Source organism: Homo sapiens, chromosome 1, assembly GCF_000001405.40.
Source record: "Homo sapiens chromosome 1, GRCh38.p14 Primary Assembly".
Taxonomy (NCBI): domain Eukaryota; kingdom Metazoa; phylum Chordata; class Mammalia; order Primates; family Hominidae; genus Homo; species Homo sapiens.
Genome location: NC_000001.11, coordinates 48,222,177 through 48,249,139, shown reverse-complemented (window position 1 = coordinate 48,249,139; position 26,963 = coordinate 48,222,177). Strand labels below are relative to the sequence as shown.

General features: G+C 49.0%; 1 protein-coding gene across 11 annotated transcripts, besides 1 other annotated feature; it reads right to left on the bottom strand.

The window, feature by feature from the left end:
- Positions 1 to 501: 501 nt before the first annotated feature.
- SLC5A9 (solute carrier family 5 member 9) lies at positions 502 to 26,424 on the bottom strand. Of its 11 annotated transcripts, none has more exons than NM_001135181.2 (15): positions 26,242 to 26,424; positions 24,345 to 24,416; positions 20,186 to 20,290; positions 19,963 to 20,037; positions 19,681 to 19,845; positions 18,435 to 18,540; positions 17,515 to 17,595; positions 16,989 to 17,194; positions 16,638 to 16,773; positions 15,378 to 15,485; positions 13,261 to 13,411; positions 11,293 to 11,461; positions 9,603 to 9,818; positions 6,524 to 6,683; positions 502 to 1,805 (listed from the first exon to the last, which is right to left on the bottom strand). In NM_001135181.2, exons 1-15 carry the CDS (start codon positions 26,401 to 26,403, stop codon positions 1,597 to 1,599), a joined length of 2,121 nt encoding a protein of 706 aa, NP_001128653.1. In that variant the 5' UTR covers positions 26,404 to 26,424; the 3' UTR covers positions 502 to 1,596. The 11 variants fall into 11 exon arrangements, with proteins under 11 accessions (NP_001128653.1, XP_047304541.1, XP_047304539.1 ...); XM_047448585.1 differs by having other exon boundaries at positions 17,067 to 17,194; XM_047448583.1 differs by having other exon boundaries at positions 19,681 to 20,037.
- Positions 17,066 to 17,567: an enhancer, noted in NCBI's record as "H3K4me1 hESC enhancer chr1:48697245-48697746 (GRCh37/hg19 assembly coordinates)". NCBI's record gives its function as "activates a minimal SCP1, AML or CMV promoter by ChIP-STARR-seq in primed H9 embryonic stem cells {active_cell/tissue: H9 hESC(primed)}" and the evidence as "EXISTENCE:reporter gene assay evidence [ECO:0000049][PMID:30033119]".
- Positions 26,425 to 26,963: the final 539 nt, after the last annotated feature.

The window sequence follows — 26,963 nt, the reverse complement described above, 5'->3', positions numbered from 1 at the left end:
TTAAAATTCTTCTCCCCAAACCTTCAATATAATATGTCACACACAAATACTAGTGTGAAAGGTTTTGGGAGAAATCAGGGGAAAACTGAGTTCTCAGTAAGGATCAACGGGGAACAATGGAGAGGGCAGAGCCAACTAAGGTGAGAAGCAAGTGAGGTCAAAAGGTCAATGAAAACAAAAATGTGGAGGCTGCAGTGACATGAGGTATTCATCGAGTCTGCTGTGTCTACACCTCAAAAACATAGAATTTTATTTGTATCCAGTTGTAATTACTGGTCAGTGTAAATGGATGAGAGTAGAGGCAGCCTTGACTGGGAGATAGAAGAAAGGCACGCCCTCACCTGGTGTCTGTCAGTAGGCTGGGGCTGTGATCCCACTCTAGGTGTCTGAGACTCAGTTACTTAAACTCCAAGTGAAGGAGACTCACCCCTAACAGCTAACACTCCAAGTCACTACCCAGCCAGCTGCAGCACAAAGTCTACCAGGACCATGGAGAACTAATTAACTCAATACACATTTATTGAACAGCTGTTATTTTCTGGGTACAAAGTCACTTGGGATATGGCCCTTGGTCCTTGCCCCCTGGAGTCTTCCATCTCAGTGTGATCAGTGCTGTGACAGAAGCAGGTCAAGGCTATGGGAGCAGGAGTGGGAACTTGACCCAGGTCTGGACGTTGCGGCAGCTTCCTGGCGAAGGGACACTTAACTGGGGTCACAGTGTATTCCAAGGTATGCGGATTCATGGCAAGCAAAGGGAGAAGGACAGAGAAGCACAGGCACAGTGGCTCCCAGGCTGTTTGTGCTGCCCGCTGTGGGGCTTACCCTTAAATACAGAGTAACATGTCTTGATTCCTTGAGGTTTTAACAAGTCATGTCTCTCCAACTGCTTCTCAAGGCCATAGAGAGTTTGTGCATATTTGGGTTAGAGAGTAGGAAGAGGCAGAATTTAAATAGTGCTTTGGATAGTCCATTGTCTAAGAGCTTTCTGCCCAAAATACCATCTGTCACCATGCTTAAAGTCCACCCTTGGCTCCCCACCCCTTCGGGTCTGACAGCCACCACTGTGGAGCCACCAATGGAAATATAGGACTCTCCTGGGTAAATTCATGCAACAAAGAGATTATTGGTGAGAATAGAAAGATAGAGAGGTAGGGGAACTAGAAAGGGGAAGAGGAAGGAGGATAAGGGGGAGCAAAGGTGCTCTTGGATTTTTGCAAATTTCTTCCTGCTCCTTTTCTTGTATCCTCCATTTTTCTACTCTCAAGACACACATTCAGTAAAGGCTACTGAATACATTCAAGAAGAGGGTGGAAACAGTGTGTTTGAGGTAGGTCTGTAAGGCAATATATCAGAAAGAGTGGGGAAACCCCGTGTGACACCTTCTGGGTGGTCCTGAACAAACCCAGTGCTCTCTCTGGGCTTCTGTTTCTCCACTTGTCAAGTGTGCAGGTTGAGTTGGATTCTCTTCAGGGGAGCTTGCAGTCTTGACTTCTGTGATCTCCAGTTTAGACAGCAAAGTAAGAGGAGAGCCTGTTTCTGTGGCTGACAGGCTTGGGCTTTGTTTAATCTGTCTACACTGAAGCCAGGTCTGTGGAATCACGCAAAATAGCCCCAGAGGAAGATGTTGATGGCCAGCAAAAGGACAGCATTGATGTTGCAGACATGTCTCCAGAGTGGCTCCTCCTCAATGCTTGTCAGCTTCTGTTCTAGCGCAGCCTTCTCTGCTGGGCTCAGGGCCTGCTCCGGTGTTCCAGAGAGCCCACAGAACCAGCTCCAGAGCAACTTTCCCCAGGACCTGCTTGGGGCTGGAGGGACAAAGCCAGAAGACAAAGGAGAGCAGGAGGGGAGAGGCAAAGAAGATTGGAGAAAGGAAAGTGATAGGAGAGTAGGGGAGGGAGAGAGATGGTGAGATACTGATGGAAAGTATGGGGGGTGCACAGAAACTGGGGAGGGGTGAAGCCATAGACTTGTACTTTCTGCAAACCACAGACTGGGTGCTGAGCTGGTACTCTAGACTACGTTCTGATCTTGGCCACAGCACCCAAACAGTCATGTAGTGGAAGCACCACTTTCTTCAAGAGGGGATGGTGTATTAAGGTGGCAGGATAATGCAATTCATCCCAATTCATAGCACAAGTCCTGAATAAGGGAAGAAGGAAGGAGCATTATCTCACCCAGGAAGAAGGAAGTGTTTGAACCAGACAGACTGCTACAACCACAATTGGAAAGGGCACTGGGCTGCAAGCCAGAAACCTGGTTCCAGGGCCAGCTCTGCCATTAGCTGACTGTGAGGCCATATGCAAATCACTCAGCTTCTCTGAGCTGGAGGTTCTTTCTGTCTCAAATGTATCAATGACATATGCCCCATTCTTCTCCAGGTTGTTCTGACTACCAAATGAGGATGGAAATTGGACAGCACTTTAAAAGTTACCAGTACTGGAGCAGTGGGAGAGGTTCTGGTGTATATGATATGCTAAATGTGCACGAGACCGAACCCATGCAGACACGGGCTTCCTTGGGGTGAGAAAGGGGCCTGCTCTGAGGTTAAAAGGTAGCACAATTCACTAAAAACTAAATTCAAAAGAAGTAATAAGGTAAATATTTTTAAGTTTTTTAAAAATCAGCAGACATTATATTACAAATAAAATTAATATAAAAATCCTTTCACTGAGATTGAAAAGAATGTACTGGGAATGATTGCTTTATTATTTTAATGGGTTTAGAATGTGGTAGCTGGTAAGTTCAATACACAGGGTGTCAGAGATGCAAGAACCTTGGATGCCATCTGGTCTGGCTCCCTGATTGCACAGAGGAGAAAAAAGTCTCAGGAAAGGGAAGAGACTTATTTAAGGTCACATAGCAACAGAACTGCACTAACGATAATAGGAATTCAGCATTTCGTTTGTACTAGGCTTTATCATTTTCCAAGCTGTTCCAAACATTCTCTCTTTTGATTCCCTTGGCAACCTTCTGAGACAGAGGATGCACAGAGCTTCATATTTAAATTCATATGCCCGGAGAGCCTATGTCACTAAAGGAGTTATTAAGTGGTGTGCCATAACTCAATAAATTCGTATCTAAAAACTGGGATGTACATATTTCTTTCAGATCTACTCTGCTGTCCTTTAAATATTTTTCATATTTAAAAATATATATTTTATATATTATATATATATTTTGAGACAGGGTCTCACTCTGTTGCCCAGGCTGGAGTACAGTGGCACATTCATGGCTCACTGTAGCCTCAACCTCCTGGGCTCAAGCAGTCCTCCCATCTCAGCCTCCTGAGCAGCTATGACCACAGGTGTGCACCACCACGCCCTGCTAATTTTTGTATTTTTTGTAGATATGGGGTTTTGCCATGTTGCCCAGGCTGGTCTTGACTCCTGAGTTCAAGCAATCCCCCTGTCTTGGCCTCCCAAAGTGCTGGGATGACAGGTGTGAGCCACTGTGCCAGCCTCCTTTAAATATTTTTAACTTTTCTTTTCAGGACTCAACATTATACTATGCCTACCTGCAGGCCTTTGGAGAGGGGGTGCCTCTTCCATATTCCTGATGTTTGTTTCTCTGGGCAGGGAAGGAGCTTTAGAGTATAATGGCACCAGCCTTTCCCTACCCTTCTACTTCCTCATGGTGGTGGTCTGTGAAGGGGGGTAGGTTTCTCTCATTAGACTTCTTGGCTGACTTGGTGCCTCCTTTTTCTTGCTTGGAAGCAAGTTGTCCACAGGGAGCAGGCATTTCTCTTGGCTTCTCCAGGGACTACTCTGTCCCTTGGCATGGGGACCAGCTGGGGAGTAGGTCCATTTGTGTAACTCTGTGTAAGTCTGTCTAGTTCTGGGTTTCAGCCGTGGGAAAGTACAAGCTGTCTCCTTCCTCTTTCTCTTTGGGAACTTCCTTTGCAGCTTTGCCCCTTCTTCCTTCCTCCTTCTCTTGGCAGTTGCCTCATCTACAAAAGCTCATGCTCTCAGATTGCTTTCTTCAATACCGTAAGTTTTACAAGGCTCAGGACCCAGTCTTTGCAATGATGATGGGGGAGCAGTTTTATATATATATATATATATAAAAGTCTCAGGAAAAGGAAGAGACTTATTTAAGGTCACATAGCAACAGAACTGCACTAACGATAATATGAATTCAGCATTTCATTTGTACTAGGCTTTATCATTTTCTAAGCTGTTCCAAATATTCTGTCTTTTGATTCCCTTGGCAACCTTCTGAGACAGAGGTTTTATATATATATATATATATATATATATATATACACATACACATACATACACACACACAGGTTTTATATATATAATTTATATATATAATATAAATATAATTTATATATAATATAAATATAATTTATATATAATATAAATATAATTTATATATAATATAAATATAATTTATATATATTATATATTTTATATATATATATATTTGCAAAGCAAAATATACCATGAAGTAATTGGGGCAACTGATAAGACCAGGCAGGGTGATGTTGATCTTCGGTAGTGTCTTCTGAAGTGAGCCTATGTGGGTTTTAACCATGAAAGTTTGGAAAAAATTATATCCATCATTATGAATAGCTTTTTATACTGGATTATTGGCTTTTAACTGCTGAATCGTGGGAAGAAGCTTTGAGCCTTAGACCTTGGTGGGATTCTGGGGCTTATGATGTCATTAGCTCTAGGCAAGTGGCTGTTTCTCTAGAATCAAGGCCTTAAGCAAAGGTGAAGGGCCTCAAGAAAGGTGGGAGCCTTCTCAGGTCTGGAGGAAAGTATAGGGCCCCTAAAACCTGGCAAAGTCACGAGAACTGAGTGGCATGGCATTGCCAGCCATGCTGGTGCAGCAAGTGATGCTTTGCTAATCCTGTCTGTGCTCTTAGCTCTCTAGAATTATTTAAAGTTTGGCACACAAGAGGCTGGTATAAAACTAGAGCTATGGCCAATCCAATGAGAGAAAGCAGCTGCAGCTGCTGAGGGAACCCTAACTCCGTCCAGGCACTGAGACCTCTTTTTAAAAAAAATCTTAATGATTTTACTGTTTTTTCACATGAAGATGCATTTTATTTCTCTGCCTGGACGTTATAAACAATGACATACCATTGTGTTTAAAAGCCGAATATTACTACGTTATTGACATTTTTATCCATTTTGGTGTAAACCCTACATCTTTGCACTACCTGTTTGCCTCCAAGAGATTCTCACCTCCTTGGGGACAGAGACAATGTCTTATTCATCTACTTGTATTAAGACTTTCTTTCACTGAGGCAGAAAATAAATTTAAGAATTAAGTGTCTGAATTTTTAATTCACAAGGGCAAGAGAGATTAATTTTGGACTTTAATTTGCAAACTTATTTAACTTTTTGGAATTTATTTATTTATTTATTTATTTTCCTGGGACGCCTTTTTTTTTCTTTTACTTTTATTTTAGTTTCAGGGATACGTGTGCAGGTTTGTTATATAGGTAAATTGCATGTCACTGGGATTTGGCATACAGATTATTTTGTCACCCAGGTAGAGCTTTATAGAGTTTAACATTTTCCTTGGGAATTCTATAATTGAAAAAATCTTTATAATATTTTCACTCTATAATCAGAATGTTTTGATGTTGGTATTTCATTTCACTCCAGGAAGGTTATAGCTGCATTGTGACTAACACAGGTACCTCAAATCATGTCTTAAAATAATTTTCAACTTTAGATACTGTGTGGCCTTGGAGTAGATTTAACTGACATAATCTTCTAACACATGTAGGAACCTCCAGGGGTGCACTCCATATGTCATATGGCCCATCAGCCGCTCGAGGAGACACCCAGAGGTATGGGAGGGTGTTTTGTAGGAACCTCATGAAAACAGAAACAACTGTATGGAGGCATGGCTGCTCTCATCCCATGAGGGACAACCACGCTTCTGTATTACTATAGGCAGACTTGTTGAGCCCAGGGGGAGATAAATAAATAATAAAGAAAAGTGGTGGGGGGGACATGGGTAAGGGGTTTCTTTGTCATGCCTCATGTTTCCTTCATTGTGGAGGAAACACCGTGGGTGTAACATTCTTTGATTTTCTGCCCTTGTACTCATTCAACCTAGGGGAGGTGAAGGGACTTCCGTGCTGGTAGATTTGGGAAGGATAAAGAGGACATGCTTAGCTCAGCCATGCCCTTCTTTACAGGAAGGACAGGACTGAGCCAAGCATGCCCTCTTTATTCTGTGCCCCGATCAGATCTGCTGGTGACTGGATGGGTACCTCTGTGGAATACAGGGGTTCAGTATTAGGAAGTGCATCTCCCTATAGATATAAACCAACTCTTTCCACTTATACTTGATCAGTAATGAGGGCACTATTTTGGCTCCAATCTGCCTGACTCATTTGTCTTATTTTTCAAATAGTTCAGTAGCCACGTGGGAAAGGAGTTAGGGTGATATTTATTGGGCTCCCTCAGAGTCCCCATCCCAAAGACCGCCCATGACATAGGTCTGTCCCCCCTGTTCCTCTGTGATGAGTATCCCCCGGCCTGCCGCAGCCTACCTTCAGGCTGCTCCTGGCCCAGGCTCGAGTTCTCTGCCGCTCCACCTCCTGCAGGGCACTCCCCGGCTGGCCTCTCGGATATCTCCGGTGTGCTCTCGTGGGCCTCCTTCTCCAGCTCAGAGAGGGGGCAGTTCCGAGTCCACCATGTGAGGCGTGTGAGCTGGAGGGAAAGAAGACACTGGAGTCAGTTGCCTTGGAGAGAAGTCATGCTGTAGAAGAACAGAGGCCCATTTATGGAAGGCCATCTGAGCAAAAGCAAAGAGTACAAAGAACAAGGCCAGGGCTGGGAGTCAGGAGGCCCGGATCTCAGCCCTGACTTCCTCTTTCTTCAAATATGAGCAATTCCTGCTCTACACCAGGTGCTCTACCCCAGGCTTGTGCTAGGTGCTGGAATACAGACCTGAAACACACCTGGGCCCTGTCCTCATGGATTTTACAGACTGAGGCAAATGAGGCTGGACAGGGAGGCAGGCACTTGAGAACAAGTCTTCAAAGGTCAGGCTGAGGAGTCGTAGCTTAAAGAACAAAAACCCTGTAGGCAATGGAGAGTCACTGCAGACTTTAAGCAGCAGATAGACTGTAAGTGCCAGGATCTTCAAAGTTCTCTTGGAGTGAATTGAAAGGGGTCCAGCCTGGAGGATGTTGTAAAAGTGAAGCCAAAAATAATGGGCACCTGAGGAAATGGGTAAAGGAGGTGAAATCAGGACACCATGACTGACTGAAAGAGCCAGGTGAGGGACATGGGAGAGGCTAATATGGCTCCAGGGTTCCTGCCTTGGGTGACCAGACATGTAGTGGTGCCTTTCCCAGGAATAGAGAACACAGGACAAGGAGTGGGTATTAGTGCTGGTGAAAGAAGGGATAGAGATAGAGAGAAAGAGATAGAGAAAGAGAGAGAGAGAGAGAGAGAGAGAACATGTACACACACAAATATGATGATGTGCTTCAGGAGTCTGCAGGTCCTCCAAGTGGAGATGTTCAGGTGAGGAGAAATGAAACTTTTACTTCCTTGGATGGCCCTGGTGGCTTTCTCTCTTCTCCTTTTTGGTGGCTCAGTAAACTAAAACACAGCAGTTCTCTGCCTTATATCAGTGATGTTGGACTCACCACTGCCTGAGCTCTAAGGCAGCTTTCTGGTGCATGTTGAGCTGGGTATCCCTTATCCTGCTCCCAACTTCTTACTTTCCACTGTGCTGGGCCCAAGCATGCATCTCTCTGGGATCATGAGAGCCTGGGAAGCTTCCTTGCTTGTAAGTATCTCTCAATAAACCTTACCTAATACTTCTAATGGGTGTCACAAATAGCATATGGACTGTGTCTCTTTATGTCACCAGGGTACAGTTGGATTTTGGGGTTTGAATCTTGGGAGAGGGGTTTTGGCTGTAGATAGAGAATTGAGGGTCACCTTTATATAGAAAGTTGTTGAATTTATAGCCCAGGGGTGTTGTAGGGTGAGACAGGTTATAGGCCACAGATGGGTTCCTAAGGAACACTGATATTTCAGGAGCAGATAGAGAAGCCTGTGAAGAAGTCAAAAGAGTGATTGGAAGGGTAGGCAAAACAAACAACAAAAAAACAAAACCTAGGGGAGAAATATTTCATGGAAGTGAACAGAAGAGAGGTCTTCGGGGTGCAGGAAGTGGTCAGTAGTGTCCAGTTCTCTTGGGAATTCACTTAAAGACAGGAACATGACCTTTGATTTTAGCAATAAGATGTTATCAGTGACTTCAGTGAGAGCGATTTCAGCAGAATGTTGGGGACAACAGTCAGACAGCAGCGGGTTGAGAAGCAGACAAGAGGTGGGAAGTGGAGGCTGGGAAAGGAAACCATTCTTTGCAAAAGTCTGCTGTTGAAGGGAGGAGAGGGAGGCAGCAGGAACTAGAGGATAACAGGATTCAGGGAAGGATTTTCAACTGGGGAAGACTTCGGGAAGAAGAGTGAGGAAACAGGCAATGGAGAAGAGGTTGAGGATTCGGCAGGAAAAGGGGCCCATTTCTGGTGTGAGCCACTGGAGAAGTCAGGCTGGAAAGGCCCTGCTTTTTTGTAGGAATCAGTGAAACCAAGGGTATAAAGTCATCTTGCAAACTCTAAAGCACCATCCATCAAAAGAGTATTATCCATGATGTCCACTCAGTGTTTCAGGGACTGTCTTCCAGCATGGGCTCTGTTATGGGCTGAATTGTGTCCTCCCAAAATTTCTGTGTCGAAGTCCTAACCGCCAGTACCTCAGAATGTGACTATATTTGGAGATGGGGTCTTTACAGAAAATTAAGGTTAAATGAGGTCACCAATCCATTATGACTTAAAAGAAGAGGAGATTCAGTCACAGGCAGGCATAGGGGAAGACCGTGTAAAGACAAAGAGGAGAAGACAGTCTTTTACAAGCCACAGAGAAAAACCTTGGAAGAAACCAATGCTGCAGACACCTTGATCTCAGACTTCTCACTTCTGGAACTGTGAAATCATACATTCTGTTGCTTAAGTCACCCAATCGGTGGTCTTTTATTTCAGCAGCCCTAGCTCTAGGCTGTAAGTGTTCAAGGGCCGTTGCTTGTGACAGGGGAGGATTTCAATTTGAGTTCTTCACCTAGTAAGCTCTCTGTTTCTTTTCTCTTGTATTTGTTTCTTGCCCACTCAAAAATTCTCTATTCATTCTTCAGGGTCTAATTCAAAGTGTCCTCATCAGTGTGCCCTCCCTGGGCCCCCAGGAGGTGACTGCCTCTCCCTCTGTTCTTGGCCCCTCTGGTTGAGCTTGGTCCTTCTGCACTTTCTCTTTGTATAGTGATAGCTTGTGTCAGCGTCTGTTTCTCCCTGAGGATAGTCTCTGGCAGGGACCATTCATCTTTGTAAGCCCAGCACAGTGCCTAGCACATAGTAAGTACTCACTGAGTAATTTTCGAGTTGAATGAATTACTTTTCAATGGGGAATTCATAGCCCAAGGCACTTTCCCTCCCAAGGACATCTGTGTGGCCACAGGGGAGACCATAACCCAACAGAGTAAAAGTCAGCAGTGGAATTCTAGGCTATGGGGGAAGGGAGAGCATTTCTGGAGGGCCTCAGTATGAGCACAACACTTGCCTGTTCCTCAGGGATGGGAGTTGTACAGAGGCTGACAATGACAATGACGATGGCAGTGAGCCCGCAGAGGAGGATTGCAAAGTACAGGTAGTGGAAGTCCTTCAGCACTGCTGGCCTCCGGTCCACCTCCCCACAGGCTGGCGCTGGGTATGAGAACTCCAGGATCATACGCAGAAGCCCCACTCCCAGGCCAAACACGAGGCCCCAGAAAGCTCCCTGTGAGAGAGGGCAGACAAGAGCTGAGGTGAGATCCAGGTGGGAGACCCTAGGAAGGTAAAACTACTCTCTCCCCAAATCTCTCTCCCACTGGTTTATTGCCATGTTGGGCAAATCCATCTACTAATGGGAAAATGAGTTCTCCATTAATACTGAGACTTCGTCTTGACTTAAAGGCACAGTGGAATAGGGGCTCTAGAGTCAGGTAGACTAAGATTTGAATCCTGGCTCCATTGTGAACTGACTGAACCAATGACTCGGCCGTGCTGACTCAGAGTTTTCTTATTGGGGGCAGTAATTTAAAAATTCATAAAATTAAATCAGTACTAAGTTAATTAACAGATGGTTAATATTCAACTAAAATGGAATAAACTTTTGTAATAATCAGGGAATACCAGGATCCCCTTCCCAAACTTCTGTCATGATAAATCAGAAATCAGAATAGAGACTTTCCTTTAGTTGCTGTTGTTTTTAAGAAAAGCTCTGGTACTTCTCATGTCTTTCTTCTTTATAGCTCCATTTGGCCCTAACCTGTACCTGTTCCCAGCATGTAAGAGTATGGGAGATACTGATCCTGATTTCAAAAACTTTGGAATGAGCAGAAACACCCAGAGTTCAGCCAGGTACTGCTGTGCGGCATGGTTGTCAGTGAGATGAGACCTGTGCAGACAGTAGACACTTGCTTAGGTGCACCATCAAGGGAGGGGGTTCCATGACCTCATTTTCAATGACCTTGAGCTCTCACATTATTTTTGTGGAGTGGTGTCCATGATATCCCTCAGCTTCTCAAGGTACAGCCAGCCTGTCTCTTCTAGGCTATCCTGGGGAGTAACCAAGGCTCCAGCCCTGGGGTACCGCTAGCTTCCTCCCAGATTCTGTCAGGTTTCAGTGGCACTGCATGAATAATGCAAGTGCAGGAGCCCTTGTAAGGTCACACTTTGTCATCATCATTGTCATTGCTGTTATTTTGCTTACACATAGAACCTTATATTGTTAGACATGGAACAGACCCTAGAGATCTTACAGTCTCTCTTGCACGTTCACACACACTGTTCCTTGTGTCTGGAACATTCTTCCCCCTCTCATTAATCCTTCAGGCCTCAGCTCAGATGTCACTTCATCCAGGAAGTCTTACCTGACTCCTCCCAGGAGCCCCATAGGTTAGGTGCTTGTGCCCTTTACTCTCCCACCAGCCAGCATACTTTGTAACTATTGTTTATTCAGTTATCTCTCTGCCAGCCAAGTGATGGCCCATCTATGTGAATCTCGTAAACTACTGCATCCCTGGAGCTGCCATTATAAGGCTGATAAATGTTTGTTGAGTGAATGAATGAATCTAGGCTGGATGCTGTGGTCAGGAAAATGGAAGCCTAGAGGGGAAGTGGATTTTCTCAAGGTCACAGAGACCAGGTGATTGACAGACCAGGTCTCCAGCCCCTCTGCTGTATGTGAGAGACAGGTACACTGCACTCACGGGCTCTGTGACCCTCTTGCAGAAGATGGCCAGCAGGAAGAGAGCGGTGATGGGTGGGGCCAGGTAACTGGTGACAGCCTGGATGTAGTCGAAGAGCTGCCCACTGTTGGAGCTTTGGATGATGGGGATCCAGAGGATGCTGATGACAACCAGGAACACCACAAACACTCTGCCAGAGAGAGCACAGGGCACTGAGGCACACTCGGGTGGGCATGGTGTGGTGTGGGGTGAAGGTGATGCACAGGAACCAGGAAGGGAGAAAGAAGGGGAATGTACAATCACTAGATCAGAGAAGGTTGGCAGCCAGAATCTCAAATACTAAGATTCAGAAACTTAGTCTTAAAATCCCAGAATATAGGAATTTTGGAACTGAAGAACCTTATAATTCTAATGCCTCCGTGGCACTTATATATTAGACGGCTTCAAGGTCATGTCACCCACCTGTTGCTGTTCAAGGAGGAATTCATACATTCCACCCCACCCCCCACCCCAGTCAAAGGCCTCTGGTCTCTGCTTAGAATGTCTTCTCTTTTCCATCCCTGCCCTGTGTAGGGCAGCTCTTTCCCAGGATGACTGCAGCTTCCAGGGACTGCTCCTTCCTCCACGCGCTGATCCTCTCTCCCTTACTGTGGCATTGATCTTGGGAAAGAATCCCACTTATTCACCTGACTCCTTCTCAACAAACTGTGGCTCAGACCTAAGTCCCCAAAGCATTCTGCATGTATGATTTTGCAGATGTGTGAAGTTGTTGATGAAAAACTTTTCTTGGATGTGTTGGGTGCAATAACACATATGACCAGTAGATAGAGCACAAACCTCACTGATTGAGGAAATGGTAGCAAAACCAGTTCATATGCACAGATAAGGAATGCTTCTTTTGACATGTCACTGCATACCTGTCTTCTCCTCTCCTTTTCCTCCCATTTTGCCTCTCTCAGACTCCACTAGAGCATCAGCCCCCCAAGTAGCTTCCCTGCTGCTCATCCCCCTCCTCTTTGCACAATCTGTCCTGCACTCAGATCCTGCAATGGCCAGTCCCCTTGCCTAGGGCTGGGGGTGCACAGATGAGCAAGCAGTAGGAATCCATTAGGCAGCCCTGGGCAGAAGGCATCCTAGTGGAAAGAACAGTGAGTGCAAAGGCAGGGAGATGTGAAAGAGCAAGCTTCCTAAATTCAAGTACCTATCCACAAAGTGGGAGAACTTTAGTCCAGAAATCCAAGTTAGGGAACCTTCGATTATGAAGCAAAGATCTAAAAAAGGGCCCCTTAACCTTATGTAAACTACAAATCTCCAGCCTATGGAAAACCAAAAATTTTAGCCACCAAGTTATGCTTTTAAAAGCATAAAACTGTTACCCACAAGATAAAGTTCGAATTCCTTAGCTTGGTGTCCAAGGCTCTGCATCATTTGGAGAGAGCCCTCCTATGAAAATCTCCATTGACGCAAATACCTTGCTGTGTTACCTGTGTTTCTACCTTCCTTAATAAACTGTGAGCACGCTGAGGGCAGGGCCATATGACCCATCCGTGGGTCCCCTGCATGTGGGATGTGATGCACAGTAGATGTTCAGAGTGAATCTGATGGATCAAATTAATAGCATTTTTTTTTAACCGGGCTTAACATCCGGAGTTGGTTGGGAATACCTTGGGTGAGCTGCTTGCTAACTTTCCATGCACTTACACAGTTTACCTTTCATTTCTTAAGTACTTTTTCATCTCTCGACAACCCTGTTGATCAATTTCAAGATAAAGTTACCAGGGAAGAGGTGTTTTTTCCTATTATTCTGAAAGGAGGAGTGGTCCAGGGTTGGCGAAGGACTTACTTGAAATCATGTGGAGAGCTGGAGCTTGAACCCGGTGCTCTGGCTGCCAGTCCAGGGTCCAACCCAGCCACCTCTGTTCAGGGTAACCCAGGGCAGGGCAGAGGGGAGAGGGCACTTCGGAAGGAGGGAAGGAGGGGCCGGCGCACCTGCCCACCACCATCAGCTCCTGCTCTGTTGACTTCCTGCGGAAGCGCTGCCACACATCAATGGTGAACAGGGTGCTGCTGCTGTTGAAGATGGAGGTGAGTGAGCTCATGAGAGCGGCCATGATCACGGCAATCATCAGCCCCCGCAGACCTGGGGAGAGACGAGGCTCATGTGAACGGCTGGCCCATTAAGGCCGGCTCTTCCAGGACTACAGAGGCTGCTGGAGCATTCTGTAGAGTCAGGAGCTGGGGGTGGGGATGAGAGAGGGAAGGGGTTGGATGAGGCTCCCATCCAGCACAGATAAGAAATCCTAGACCACAGAACTAGAGGCTGGGTTCTGCCCAGGCTCTGTCCCTGCCTTGCTATGTGGCCTTGGGTGACTCATTTGCCCCTCCACCCCCCACCCTAAGCCTCAGTTTCCTCATCTATCCTATTAAGTTATGTAAGACTAGGTAATCTCTAAGGTTCTCTGAAGCTTCGACATCTCAGTCTAGGTTTCACAGCTTGTAGACACTTGGTTAGTGGGTTGCTGCTGGGGAGAAGAGAAAGGTGATTATTAATAATTGGGTGGATCTGTTTAGTGTTTCCATACCTTCTTCATTGACATGGTGGTGTTGGGCTAAAGCCCTGGCTTGGGAGGTAGCAGCTTTGGGCTTATTTCCTGGCTCTGCAAGTAACCAGCTGTATGTATGATCCTTGGACTAGCTCCTTGCCATTTCTGGGCCTATTTTTCCACTTGAACAAGGGAGGATGGGACCCACTGGTATCTGAAGTTTCTCTGACAGTGACCAAGCTTCTAGAGATATGGCTGCTCACCCCTGGGGAGATGATCCCAGCCCTGGTGCCACCTCAGTCCTCTTTCCTTCCAAATCCATATATTTAACCACCTTCTGATGTCCCCCTCTCTCCCTTGAAGTGTCACAGGTGCCTCAGGCTCAAGTGCTCCAAACTCAGGTGCCCATCTCCCTCTGGGGCCTTCTGTTCCCCTCTTTAGTTATTGTCTTTCCAGCCTCACAGCAGACCTTAGGGCTACCTGAGACCCTTGCTCTGCTCCCCTCCCTGCTTACCTCCAACCTGCCCCTCAGGGCAGCTCTGTCCTAGCTGGGCCTCCCTCCATGGCCACTACTTCCCGGATTCACTCCTCCTTCTACCACAGGGAGGGAATAACTCTACTCTGCTGCCCTCCATAATCCCACCTCTCTTCATATGTCCCTAATCTCAATATTATTATAAGCCCACCACCTAAAGGCCAAGATCTGGGAGGCTTCTTGGATTTCTCTGTCTATATTATCCCTCAAATCAAGTCCTGTCAATTCAACCTCACAAACATCTTTAAATCCCTTCTCTCCATCTCTGATGCCACTGACTTGGTCCACCTACCTGGACCACTGCAAACTCCCCATGGACAATCTCCCTGCCTACCCACAAGCCTGCCTCGTACAGAGTTGTCCACACAGACTGGTCTTGCTAAAACACAAATCCAGTCATGCTCTCTCTGACCAAAACCCCGCAGTGTCCCAGCGCTCTGCTCTAGAACAAGGCTTGGCTGTGACATCCCCACCAGGAAGGTTGTCTTCCTTCCTCCTGGCTCTTGCGTCCACACTGGGCTGCTTTCAATTCAGACTTCCTGCCCTCTCTTCACCCTGGGCCTTTGCACGCACAGCTTCTCATCCCTAGAATGACATTTCCCATGCTCCTCCGGCTGTGTCTGCCTAAGATTTAACTCGGGATGTAGCTCCATTTCCTTCCCTCTGGGAGACATTCCAGACATCCTCCAGCTGGGTCAGGTGCCTTCTTAGGGCTCCCTTAGCCCATACTGGGTCACCACACTGGTCCCACTGGATTGTGCCTGTGGCAAGTCCAGGTACCCTGGAGACCGCATGATGCCTGAGCAGGGGCCTGCCTTTTATCTCTGCATCTCCAGAACCTGCCCACAAAGCTGGTGTCTTACGTACAAATGCCTGTAAAACGTGTGTGTATGTGTTGGGATGGGGGTGCAGAGGTGAATAGTTTTCTTCCCTCTTCCCATCCATGTTAGTGCCTTCCCTCCTGGGCAGTGGAGATTGGAGGAGGCTGGAGGTGAGAGTGCAGGGTGGGGTGGGGAGAAGAGACTCACCAACAGGCATGAGGGCCATGACCAACTTAGGGTAGGCAATGTTGGAACATCCCACTCGGGCCCCACAGATTCTTTGGCAGACATCAGGGTCCACGCAGCCCACCTCGTCTGTGGAAGAAGTAATGGCAGTTAGAGTCCGTGATCTCGTGCCTTCTCAGGTTGGCCTAGTATTTGCTTTCCAAAACTACAGGATAATGTTCACTGGAGACTCTGACAGGGACCCATGTCTACAAGGTTGGGGGGCAAATGGTGTCTGGGTCTTTGGTAAATTTCTCGTCCGTATACTTATTACCTGATTCACATTTTTTCTACTGAAATACTTATCATATGTTTGGCCCACAAAGCCTAAACTGCTTATTATGTGTTCTTTTCTATCTTTTTTTTTTTTTTTTTTTTTTTTTTGAGATGGAGTCACGCTCTGTCACTCAGGCTAGAGTGCAATGGAGCAATCTTGGCTCACTACAACCTCCACCTCCTGGGTTCAAGTGATTCTCCTGCCTCAGCCTCCTGAATAGCTGGGATTACAGGCATGTGCCATCACGCCCGGCTAATTTTTGTATTTTTAGTAGAGACGGGGTTTTACCATGTTGGTTAGGCTGGTCTCGAACTCCTGACCTCATGATTCGCCCATCTCAGCCTCCCAAAGTTCTGGGATTACAGGAGTGAGCCACCATGCCTGGCCTTCTTTTCTTTTCTTTTTTCTTTTCTTTTCTTTTTCTTTCCTTTCCCTCCCTCCCTCCCTCCCTCTCTTCGTTCCTTCCTTCCTTCCCCTTCCTTCCTTCCTTTTCTTTCCTCCTCCTCCTCCTTTTTTTCTTCTTCTTCTTCTTTTCTTTCTTTCTTTTTCTTCCTTTCTTCTCCTTCCTTCCTTCCTTTCTTTTTCTTTTTCTTTCTTCTTCTTTTCTTCCTTTCCCCTTCCTTCCTTCCTCCCTCCCTCTTTTCTCTTCTCTTCTCTTTTCTTTACTTTTCTTTCTTTTCAATAGGGTTTCTCTTGCTCTGTCTCCCAAACTGGAATGCAGTGGGGCAATCACAGCTCACTGCAGCCTCAACCTCCTGGACTCAAGCTCCTGGACTCAGGATCCTCAGCCTTCCAAGTAGCTGGGTCTATGGGTGCATGCCACCATGACCGGCTATGTATTCTTAATAGACAAACCTTGCCAACCCCTGCTCTGGCCTAACATTGTCCAGGGCCACATTCCCATTCTCCAGACACTCCTTGAAAGCCTCAGATCCCAATACCCAGAGAGCAAGGCTCGTTCTTACCTGGGAACAGGGCCCGGCTGATCATGCCAGGCATGACGATGAAGAACATGGGGAGGATCTTCAGGTAGCCCCCCAGCACGGAGCCTCCCTTGGCATGAGACAGACTCTTGGCCGAGAGAGACCGCTGCACAATGACCTGAAAGGGCAGCAAATGAGGAGTGCAGCGCAGGTAGAGGAGAGGCTCATTAAGCCACAGGTGAGCCCTGACACTGGGCATGACTGTGTCCCTACTCCAGTCCAGTCACAATCCCAGAATGAGGTCCAACCCTCTATGCATCCAGGCACTGGGTTTTTCTGCAGGAAGCCACCCCACTTCCTGGCAGGCTGGGCTAAGCCTGGCTGGGGGATTACCTGGTCTGTGCACCAACACCAGGTGGCCAGCACTGTGAGCCCGAAAATGAGACCTGGCCAAGGGATGTCCCCGCTCACAGGGTCCCGAAGAATGTGGAAAGCATCGGGCCGTGGGAGGTGACAGGTGGTGTTGGGGACTGTGACATTAGGGATGGCCTGCCTGTACCGCTGCTCCAGGCCTGGGTACCAGCCCACGTCCTGAAAGCCTGTGAGGAGACAGTGAGTGAAGCAGCCCTGAAACCCCACTGAGCCTGTCACTCAGCAAGCCCAGCCCCAGCCTCATGTGGGCCCTCAGGTTGGAACTGGCATGGGGATTGGGGGTGAAGGAGGAAGATGGGGCTTGGGCTCAAGACCCTTGGTTTGAAGTAGCGAGAACCCTGCTCTTTGGGAGCTGCAGCCTGGAGAGGGGACATGGCTCACATGGCTCTATGCACTGGAAAGTTTCAATCGAACTGTGGAGGTGGCAGAGACAGGACAGAGAGGAATTTAAGAATGACAGTGGGGTATATTTAGGTCTCTTCCTTACCCAGAAACATGAGGACCAGGGCTCCCCCTACCATGATCACCGTCTGCAGAGCATCTGTGTAGATCACGGCCATGAGGCCACCTGGGGACCCAAGGAGAGGGCTCATCAGTCAGCACCAGTTTGGGGTCCTCTCTGGCTGCCTGCCCTGTGCATGGCCACACTGGGGAGACCAGAGAAGACACACAGCCCTCTTAGCAGGGGAACTCTGGCCACTGCCTTTCTCCGCACCTAGTGTTCCCCTCTCTCCCTCCCCGGCAGGATGCCAGCTGGTCACAGTCAAAGGTGCTGGGGCCCCTTCTTTCTGTCTTGACAGCAGCTGACTGTGGCCATCACACCACAGCTTTGTGTTATTGTTTAATATCCCAAGTCCATTCCTTGACTTGCAGTTCTGCCAGGAATACTCCCTGCTTTCTCCTCCCAATGCCCATCTAAATGCCCCCCTGTCTCTGGACCCCAACTTAACCATAAGTAAGGCTGTCCTGTGCTGGCCTCCCAGGGTGCCCAGCCCTGTGCAAGGAGATTTGGAGGAGGTGGGTTGTGGTCTCTGCCTGGGGCAGCCTGCAGTGACTCTGGCTTGGGTCATAGTCCTCCTCTCTACCCTGCTCCCCAGGCAGTTAGTCTTTTGTGGTATTTCTTACTGTCTCTCCTTCCCTGTCTCTGCCTGACCTGTTCCTCCTCCCATTTCTGCCCTTTTTATCCCCCTGGTCTCTGTCCCTGTGTCTGTCATTCTGTTCCCCTGTGTTCTTCTCTTCTACGTCTCTGTCTCAGCCTCTCTTTGTCTCTGCCTCTCCTGTTTCTCCTCTCTGTCAGCATCAGCTTTCTGTCACTCTGTCTCTCTCTCTGGTTGTCTCTCCTTCAGTCTTTCTCTCTGGGTCTCTGCCAGTCAGAAGCTTTCCTCTTGCCCTCTTCCCTCTGCCTACCTGCAATGGTGTAGACGGCAGTCACCACCAGCAGGATCCCTGTGGAGAGGTACAGGTTCCAGCCCAATGCCATCTGGATGAAGAGGGCTCCAGAGAAGATGTCAGTCTGCAGAGAGCCAGGACCCAAGAGGCCAGACCACCCGAGGCCCTCAGTAGGGTTGTATGGACACATCACCTGCCTGCCCAGCAACACCAGGCACCCTCAGCCCTCATCACATGATGAAAATGAGCTTTAAGTGCTATGCTAAGGAGTGTGGGTTTTATCTTGCAGACACTGAGGCGCCATGGAGACTTTAAAGCAGAGAAGTACTGTATAAAGCCTCCAAACTGAGATAAATTTAATCACGTAGCTGGTCTGCTGGACATGAAGGGAGTGGTGAGGAATGAAGTGGAAGGCTGAGGAAGTGAAGGAAGGTGCTGGGCTGGAGAAGAAGAGCTCATTTAGGAGAAGAGAGGAAGAACCGGAGAGTTGCTGGCTGCTCCCTGGCAGAGCAGAGCCTGCTTGGCTGTCAGGTGGCCCACGGCTGACCCAATGCGGCAGGAGCCCTGGTGCAGATAGGCATGGGTCTGGGTCATCTACATACTTGGGTTTATTAGCAGACATGGGCTTATAGCCTGAGCTTAAGCTGACTTAGGATGTTCTCAAATATTGGTGGAACAAGGGCCTTAAAGTGTTTTTCAGCCCTAGACCTGGCAACGGAGTGATTCAGTTCTCTTTAGTGTATGCTTGTGGATACCATTCCATGATTGTTTTGTGAACCTGTTACAGGGTCTAAAACATAACAGAGTGGAAGGAGCCTGGACTGGGTCATGGAACCCACACTTCAGCTTCAGTTCTAGAGCTAGCCCTCTGTGTGGGCTTGGGCAAGTCATTTGACCTGTCTAGGTTTGTTTCCTGATTTTAGGTCAGTAGAGGAGGACTAAAGACCTTTCTAACTCCAAAAATCTAGGCAACTAATGTACAGTTGATGAACAAAGAATCCATTAATGAAAAAATAAATGAATGAACTCTGGATTGTGATTTATTTGAGTGTAGGGGCTGTCATTCACTCCAAAAACATTTATCATTCATCTCTGAGTACCCCAGTGCTGAGGCAGAACATGCATTAAATGTTTATAGGTCCTGCTTTCCTTTTTTTCAACAGTGATTGTCAGCTTCCCCTCAGCAACACGCACATGGTGATGCACTCAGCAGTTCCCTAATTAGCATTTCCAGACACAGTGACCACATTGCAGTGACACCTACCGAGATCTTGGTGAAGATGTAGAGGATGAGAGACAGGACAGACATGTACACCTGGATCCTCTGGCCCCCAAATCGCTTCTTCAGATACTGCGGCATTGTGACCACACCTGCTGCGATGTACACAGGGACGAAGACCCAGCCAAGGGCCAGGAGCAGCCAGGTTGCCTGGGAGAGTGGGGAGAAGAAGAAGGTATCCAGGTCCTGGATGTAGACAGAGGGGCGGCTTCCCACCCAGAGGCAGTGCTGTGCTGTGGGAGGCCCCCGAACAGAGAAATAAGAGACCTGGGACCTGACCCCAGTCCTCCCGTGTGACCTTGGATGGATCCCTCTGTCTCCTCCAGACCTTGATTTCCTCATCTGTGAAATGGATTCTCAATTGTGAAATGGATTCTCGATTCACCATGTAGCCTCCCAGGCATCTCTAAGGATCCTCCCAGCACTAATGCCAGAGACAGAGGTGGGTTAGACCCTCAGTATTCTGGAGAAACCAGGCCAGCTTCCTTACGTTCCACTCGAAGCCACCTACGGCAAGGCCTCCGGCAGCCCCTGTCCCAGCCAGGCCGATGAACAAGCCACTGCCCACATTGCTGGACATCAGAGATGCTCCAATCTGCAAGGCACAGTTGGGTCAAGGGTCAGGAGTCAGGAGTGATCTGAATGAATCTGGAGCGAGGACCATGAGTAGTGAGGAGCTGATATTTGTTGGGTACCCACTGTATGCCAGGCACTGCATTCATAAATACATTTAATTCCACAGATATCCGCAGGGAGGGGTATTAGTCATCCCAGGTTACAGAGGAAGGAACTAATGTAAGGAAAGATGAATTCATGGCTCCAGGTCACCCAGTGAGTAAATGGTGAAGTGGGAAAAAAGGGAAAGTGGGAAGGAAGCCTGGAAGTGGGGAGTGTGGACCTCCGCCCTGAGGCCATGGGTCTGAGGGCCTCCAAAGGAAGGAAGCTGAAGGGGATAGGGAAGCCCCACAGGAGGGAAGGAAAGGCCCTCCCACCACCCCAGGGATAGCCAGGCAGAGGGAGGAGCCGAGGGACTGAGCACAGGCCAGGTCGACCTCTGAGTTAGTTCTCCAGGGGCGCAGCCAAGCACTTGGAGGCAGTAGAGAGCAATGATGATGGTGAGCATGATCAGGGCAGTCAGGGCCTGTGCAGCATCTCCAGGAACCAGCTGGCCTTCTGAGTTTGGGGACTCATTTAATCCTCGCCACAACCCTCAGTGCTACTTTTATCCCCATCTTACCCATGAGTGAACTGAGGCACAGATAGGTAACTTGCCCAAGTCTCAGAACTAGTAAGTGACCAAATGAGAATTCAATCCCTGGCTGTCTGGCTCCAGTAACACTACACAAATGGTGCTTGCCACTTAATGAGCACTTGGTCAATATTCTCTCTTATTATTAGATGGGATCTCTGACTGGGAGGGGAGAAGGGGGAGAGGAAGGGGCTCTGGAGCCTGGGAGGAGGCTTAAGGAGACCTCGGGGAGAGGGCTGGGGGCAGCTAGGGGCAGAGCCGTGTTCCTTTTTGTATACTATGTCACCACAGTAAAATCACTTCCTCTATCAACGCCTCAGCTTCTTCACCTATACAATGTGGGACTCACTTCCGCCCAACTTCCTGTTCTTCCGGAGGTGCTGTGAGAGAGAAAGTGAGAGGAGAGGAAAAGCACTGAGAAATTCAGACAAAGGCAGTAAGCAGTGTAAAGGCACAGAATGAGGAACAGGCCTGACATTGCTGAGGCCCTGGTGCTAGCGCCTCTGACATGTGCACATGCACACTCACATGTACACTCACACACACACAGGCACAGTACACACACACTCTCACACATGCACACACAGATGCAATCACACACACAGGCACAGTACACACACACACACTCTGACACACATGCACTCACACCCACACAGGCACAGTACACACACACTCATGCAATTACACACACTCTGACACACACATGCACTCACGCCCACACAGGCACAGTACACACACTCTCTCACACATACACACACACACACTCTGACACACATGCACTCACGCCCACACAGGCACAGTACACACACACTCTCACACATGCAATCACACACAGGCACAGTACACACACACTCTGACACACACATGCACTCACGCCCACACAGGCACAGTACACACACACTCTCACACATACACACACACACTCTGACACACATGCACTCACACACAGGCACAGTACACACACACTCACACATGCACACACACATGCACTCACACACAGGCACAGTACACACACACACGCACACACACTCTGACACACACACTCATGCACTTGCACCGTCGCACACATACACTCACACACATGCACATGTCCTCATATGCCCTCACACGCACAGGTATGCACACACGTGCACATACATTCGCAAAGCACACACACACAAGCACACTCATGCACACACACAGTGCCCACATTCACACATGCATACATACTCACACATGGAAACAAATTCACACAGGCACTCACACACACACTCACTCTTCCTCTCTCAGGCGGTCCCAGGGTGCTGGTAGGGCTGGGCTGAACCACCCAGTCAGAGCAAAGAACACCAAGGCCTCCTACTTCAGGGGAAGAAGCCTCCCCCAGGCAGTTCTTGGAGCAGTGAGGCACCTCCACCCCAACCCAGCCCAGGGTTTTTAACCTCACTTCTCCTGCTCCTAACCCAGGAGACATCAACAAGATCAGCAGGGGAGGCATGGGGAGGAGGACCATGCAGACCTCTCTGGAAGAGGACGGGCGACTGCACCTTCTGCTCTCAGCCTCCCAAGCCCCACACTGTTCATGGGGCACAGACTCAGGGCAGGGCAGATGCCCAGACAAACACTCCAGCAGTGCTGGTGGGACTGAGCTTTCCCTACCCAGAGCTGGTTCTTACTCTGGCCTCAGGCAGGACCCAGGTCTCAGGTGCAGGAGGCACAGCTCACAGCCTGGCCCACCAGAGGATGGGGAGCACATCCTCTCTTTCCCACTGGGTGCCTGCTCTGTGTTTGGGGCGCAGTGGGAACCTGGGAGTGCCTGCCAAGGCCTCCCTCTTGTTTGGAGGCCTCAGGTTCCTCACACTAATCGTTGGGCCAGAGCTCGGCTCTCTGTGGGTTGACCAGACAATCAGCAGGGCCCCTGGGCTTCTCCTGAAGTGGTCAGAGGAACCTGCTCTGTCCTGCTTCTTTCTCCTCCTTTCCTTCATTTCCAGGGCTGTGATTTGGGGGGCACTAGCTGAAAAGAACCATTTTGAAGGGTTTTTCCTTTTTCCTGATGAGAAGGTGGCTGTAGCACCAGTGACCCCGCCACTGTTCCTGAGCTGCAAGGCCCAGCTCCCCGCCATCCCTGGGGATTCTGTCATGCTGGACAGACAAGAGCTCCCTGCTCCTACTTCTTCCTGTCCCAGATACCTAAACCTTCCAGAGAGCCCTGGAGGCCTCCTGTGTTTCTGCTACTCTTTAATGAGTCTGTGACCACTAGAGAGTGGGGAAGGTGGTGAGAAGGAGAAGGGTGGGGAGAGGCGTGAAGATGGCTGGTGGTGTGAGTGCGCATGAATGTGTGAGTCTGAGTGTGCACGTGTAAGTATGTAAAGGAGCATGAGTGTGAGACTGCATGTGAGTGTATGTGATTGTGACAGTGTGTATGAGAGTGAGAGTGTGAGTGCGTGAGAGAAGGTGTGAGTGTGAGAATAGGAGTATGATTGTGTGCATGAGTTTGCAAGCATGTATGAGTGCGGGCATGTATGAACATGTGTGGGTGCCTTTGTATGTGAGTGTGAGTGTTGTGTGTCAGTGTGTGAGAGTGTGCATGTGGGAGTGGGTATGCACACATGCCGTGTGTGAGTTTTGCATGCCTGGGTGTGTATACTGCTTCAGCTACCACTGGGGCTGATGACTCTACTGGTAATTTTTGAGGCAGGGCTTTCCTCCCTCCATCCCATTCCAGGAGGAGGAAGTTAATTTTGAGGACCAATAGAAATGTGAGGTGGCTTGATGGGAGAAATTGTGGCTCACGAAGGTTTGGGGATCGATTCCCTGAGGTTTTTGGGGATTTTACCTCTGTGATTCCCCTAACTTAGAAATGTGGTGTGGCTTGATGGGAGAAACTGTGGCTCACAAAGTTTTGGGGATCGATTCCCTGAGATTGCTGGGGATTTTACCTCTGTGATTCCCTTAACTTAACTGTTCTTCAATATTAAGCTTATGTGTCACCTTCCCCCCAAAATCTTTCCTAACCCTAGCTGACTCCACTGTCTGGTGGTCAGGGGCTTCCAAGCTCTGGTGAGTGCCCCCTGCTTCCCTCTGGCTCAGCAGTGCGCATGATGTTTATGAATCTATCTGCCCCACTCAGCTCTGAGCTTCTCTAGGACAGGGACATTCCAGATTCATCACTGCAAGTCAAGTGCCAGATGTAGGGCCACACCTAGGAGGGGCCAGGGGATGTTTGTCCAAGGTGCGTGCTAGCAGGACCACTCAGGTTGCGGGGCGGGTTTGGGCGGGAGAGAAGGGGCCCAGAGTCAGGAAACACAACGGGGAGGTCTTTGCCTTGGTCCAGGTGTGAGAAGATGGGACAAGTGCTTGGATAGTGGGGAGGAAGAAAGTTGGGAGCCTCTGCACTAGGGGTGGTTGAGAAGGGTCAACTCACTGGCCACCAGCTCATGGACCTCCCGGCCAGGAAATAGCCGCCAATGGTCCCTCGACTTGCACGGATGGACGACTGGAAAGGAAATAGATGAGATGAGGATTTCTCAAGACTCTCTGAACCTCTGCCCTGCCCCCTCCCCGCAGATTTCCTTCCCCTCGGTGCAGGCACTGTGGGGACACAGAGGGTGAAAACTGAGGCAGAAGAGAGCTGCCTGAGGCTGGTTCCACAGTTTCTAAGCGATGTATCTTGGCAGAGTCACTTTCTCTGTGAGCCTCGCCATTCATCTCCCAGGGCCAGTGCGAAGAGCAAAGGAGGTAACGGATGTCACGTGTGTGAAGCCATTGATTGTGCACTCTTGTCCCCTTATCCTTCCCTCCCCAAAGTGCGCTTTCAGAGTATGATTTGTTATCACCTCCTTAGATGTGTAGTGCTCACCCTTTCTCTGAGCTGATCCCCTCCCTGCTCCCAGCTGAGCTCCCACACTGGAGGCGGGAGGACAGAGAGGGCTGCAGTTTGACTGTGAGACTTTGAGCCCTGAGTAGAGTTATGGGTACTGTTTTGGAGTTTCCCTTGCCCTGGGTTGAAATCAGATCACGCCACTGAGCCCCATCCAGGACCTCCCTGTCTTACACCAGTAGGTGGTCAGTTAGCAGCCTGTTGGAATATTCTCTGGAGATACAGGGTGAGGGCAGGGCAGTGGGTAGGGAAGGATGAACTTGAAGCAGCTATTCAGATGCAAAAGCCAACAGTTCTCTGACTTTCCCCTAAGGGAAAATAATCAGTCACGAGGGAGTGATAAATATGTGTGGGGCCTTGTGCTTGTTAAGCTTTTGCTTGTATTTTCCTTGTCAGCTCTGATCCTCTTGGAGGCCATACGAGCAAAACAGATCCATTTTACAGATGTGAAAATGGAGGCCCAACATTGGAAGCAATTTGTCCAAAGTCACAGAGGAGTTGGTGCTTTTCTCGGCTGGCCACTTCCAGGAGCCAGTGACCATCTGTTAGCCCAATTCTTCCTCACACCAGCACTAGAAGGCAGGGACTGTTCACCCCCCTTTATAGATGAGGAAACTGAGGCTCAGAGAGGGTCTCTGACCTGGCCACAGCCTAGGAAGTGACCATCTGGGACTTGAATCACAGCAGAGTCTAAAGGTGCTCACACTTCTGTGGAATGCGTGGTGATAATAGCAGCCATTTATTGCCTGCTGATCGGGCACCAGGCACCGTGCCAGGTGCTGCAGTATGTCCTGTTGCTGAATGATCACAGCATAGTCCTTATTCTCATTGTTCACCTGAGAAAGCTGATAGGCCTCATATGTTCCCAGGGACATGAGGCTCTCATTGTTGCAGCTGGGACCTGAACTCAGGTTTCCCTGACCCCAAAGCCTGGCCCCTGCCTCTAGCACTGAGGCTCCTGGGAACAATGGAGAACAGAGGAACCTTGGAATAAGCCTGGCACACTTCCCTGAGAGCACATGAGCCCCTTCTCATTTAGAAATCACCTTAGCCAAGATGCTAACGAATGCAGGACTGAGGTAGGGCCAGGGGTCAAGAGTTCTCAGAGTTGGGGGCCTTGGGGTGGGAAGAAGGAAGGAGTGAGGCTCAGGGCAACCAGGGATGGTTGGGGCCAAAGGCAGCAGGTGCTCAGAGAGGAGTCAGGAGTCGGGGGCCTGGTCTGCCTCTGACTCTCTGTGTGACCTCAGACCAGCCACACCCCTCTCTGCCCTTCTAAAAATGAGGAGATCAGGAGCCTGATTCCTGAAGGCCCTTCCTTCTCAGCCACATGGTTCTATGATCTGCTTCTTTCTGCCTAGCCCTGCCCCAGCTCCACAGCCCCACCCAAGCTGAGAGACCACTACTACCTCCCCTGCTAGCCCCAGCCTCAGGGCCCACTTACCCAGATCCCCACAGCAATGACGAAGACAAAGTAGATGACCACCACGCTGATGTCGTAGGCGTGCAGACCAACTCTGGAGTCCAGTGCTATGTGTGGAGCTGTCTCAGTCCTGACCCCGTCCCCTGAAGCTCCAGGCCCCATTGCTGCCAGCTCCTTGCTCATCTGTTAGTGTTGGTCAACAGCAGGCTGGACTTTGAGGCGCTCCTGGCTTCATTCCTTTCCTTTAATGATTAAACTGCCCCAAGCACCATTAGTTGGTGAGAAAACTCTGAGCCCTGCTGGCACATACAGTCCTGCCTCCTTTTCTCCCAACTGCCACCACCAACCCCTGCAGGACTCCTTCCTTCCTCTTCCTTGCTGCCACTACGTGCACACACATACATGCATGTGTACACACAGGCACACACATACACGCAATCTCCCTAACCCCAGATGAGCAGGAGGAGAAAGGAGGGGGAGGAGGAAGAGGAGAAAAGGAGCAGAATATTGGAACCCCAGAGGTGGGAAGGACTTCAGAAATCAAAGTGTTCAAACTCCTGTGTGGTGGGAAAACCAAGGCCCAGGGAAGTAAAGGTGGAGCCGGGACTGGAGTCCAATTTTCTTAAGAGTTCAATACAATTGTCTTTTACCTAGTGAGAGGAAGACAAGGGGAAGGAGGTGAGGAGTCTACTGTGACCCTAGCAAAGTGGCCACCACCTCATGTACTCCCATTCCAACCTACC

Excerpts from the sequence above, each read along its gene's own strand:
- SLC5A9 (XM_047448583.1), bottom strand. The coding sequence starts at position 26,403 with ATGAGCAAGGAGCTGGCAGCAATGGGGCCTGGAGCTTCAGGGGACGGG. Across the intron at positions 18,541-19,680 it reads ACATCTTCACCAAGATCTCG|ACTGACATCTTCTCTGGAGC; the intron begins GTAGGTGTCACT and ends GGCTCTCTGCAG. Across the intron at positions 9,819-11,292 it reads GCAAGAGGGTCACAGAGCCC|GGAGCTTTCTGGGGCCTCGT; the intron begins GTGAGTGCAGTG and ends CCTCTCTCACAG.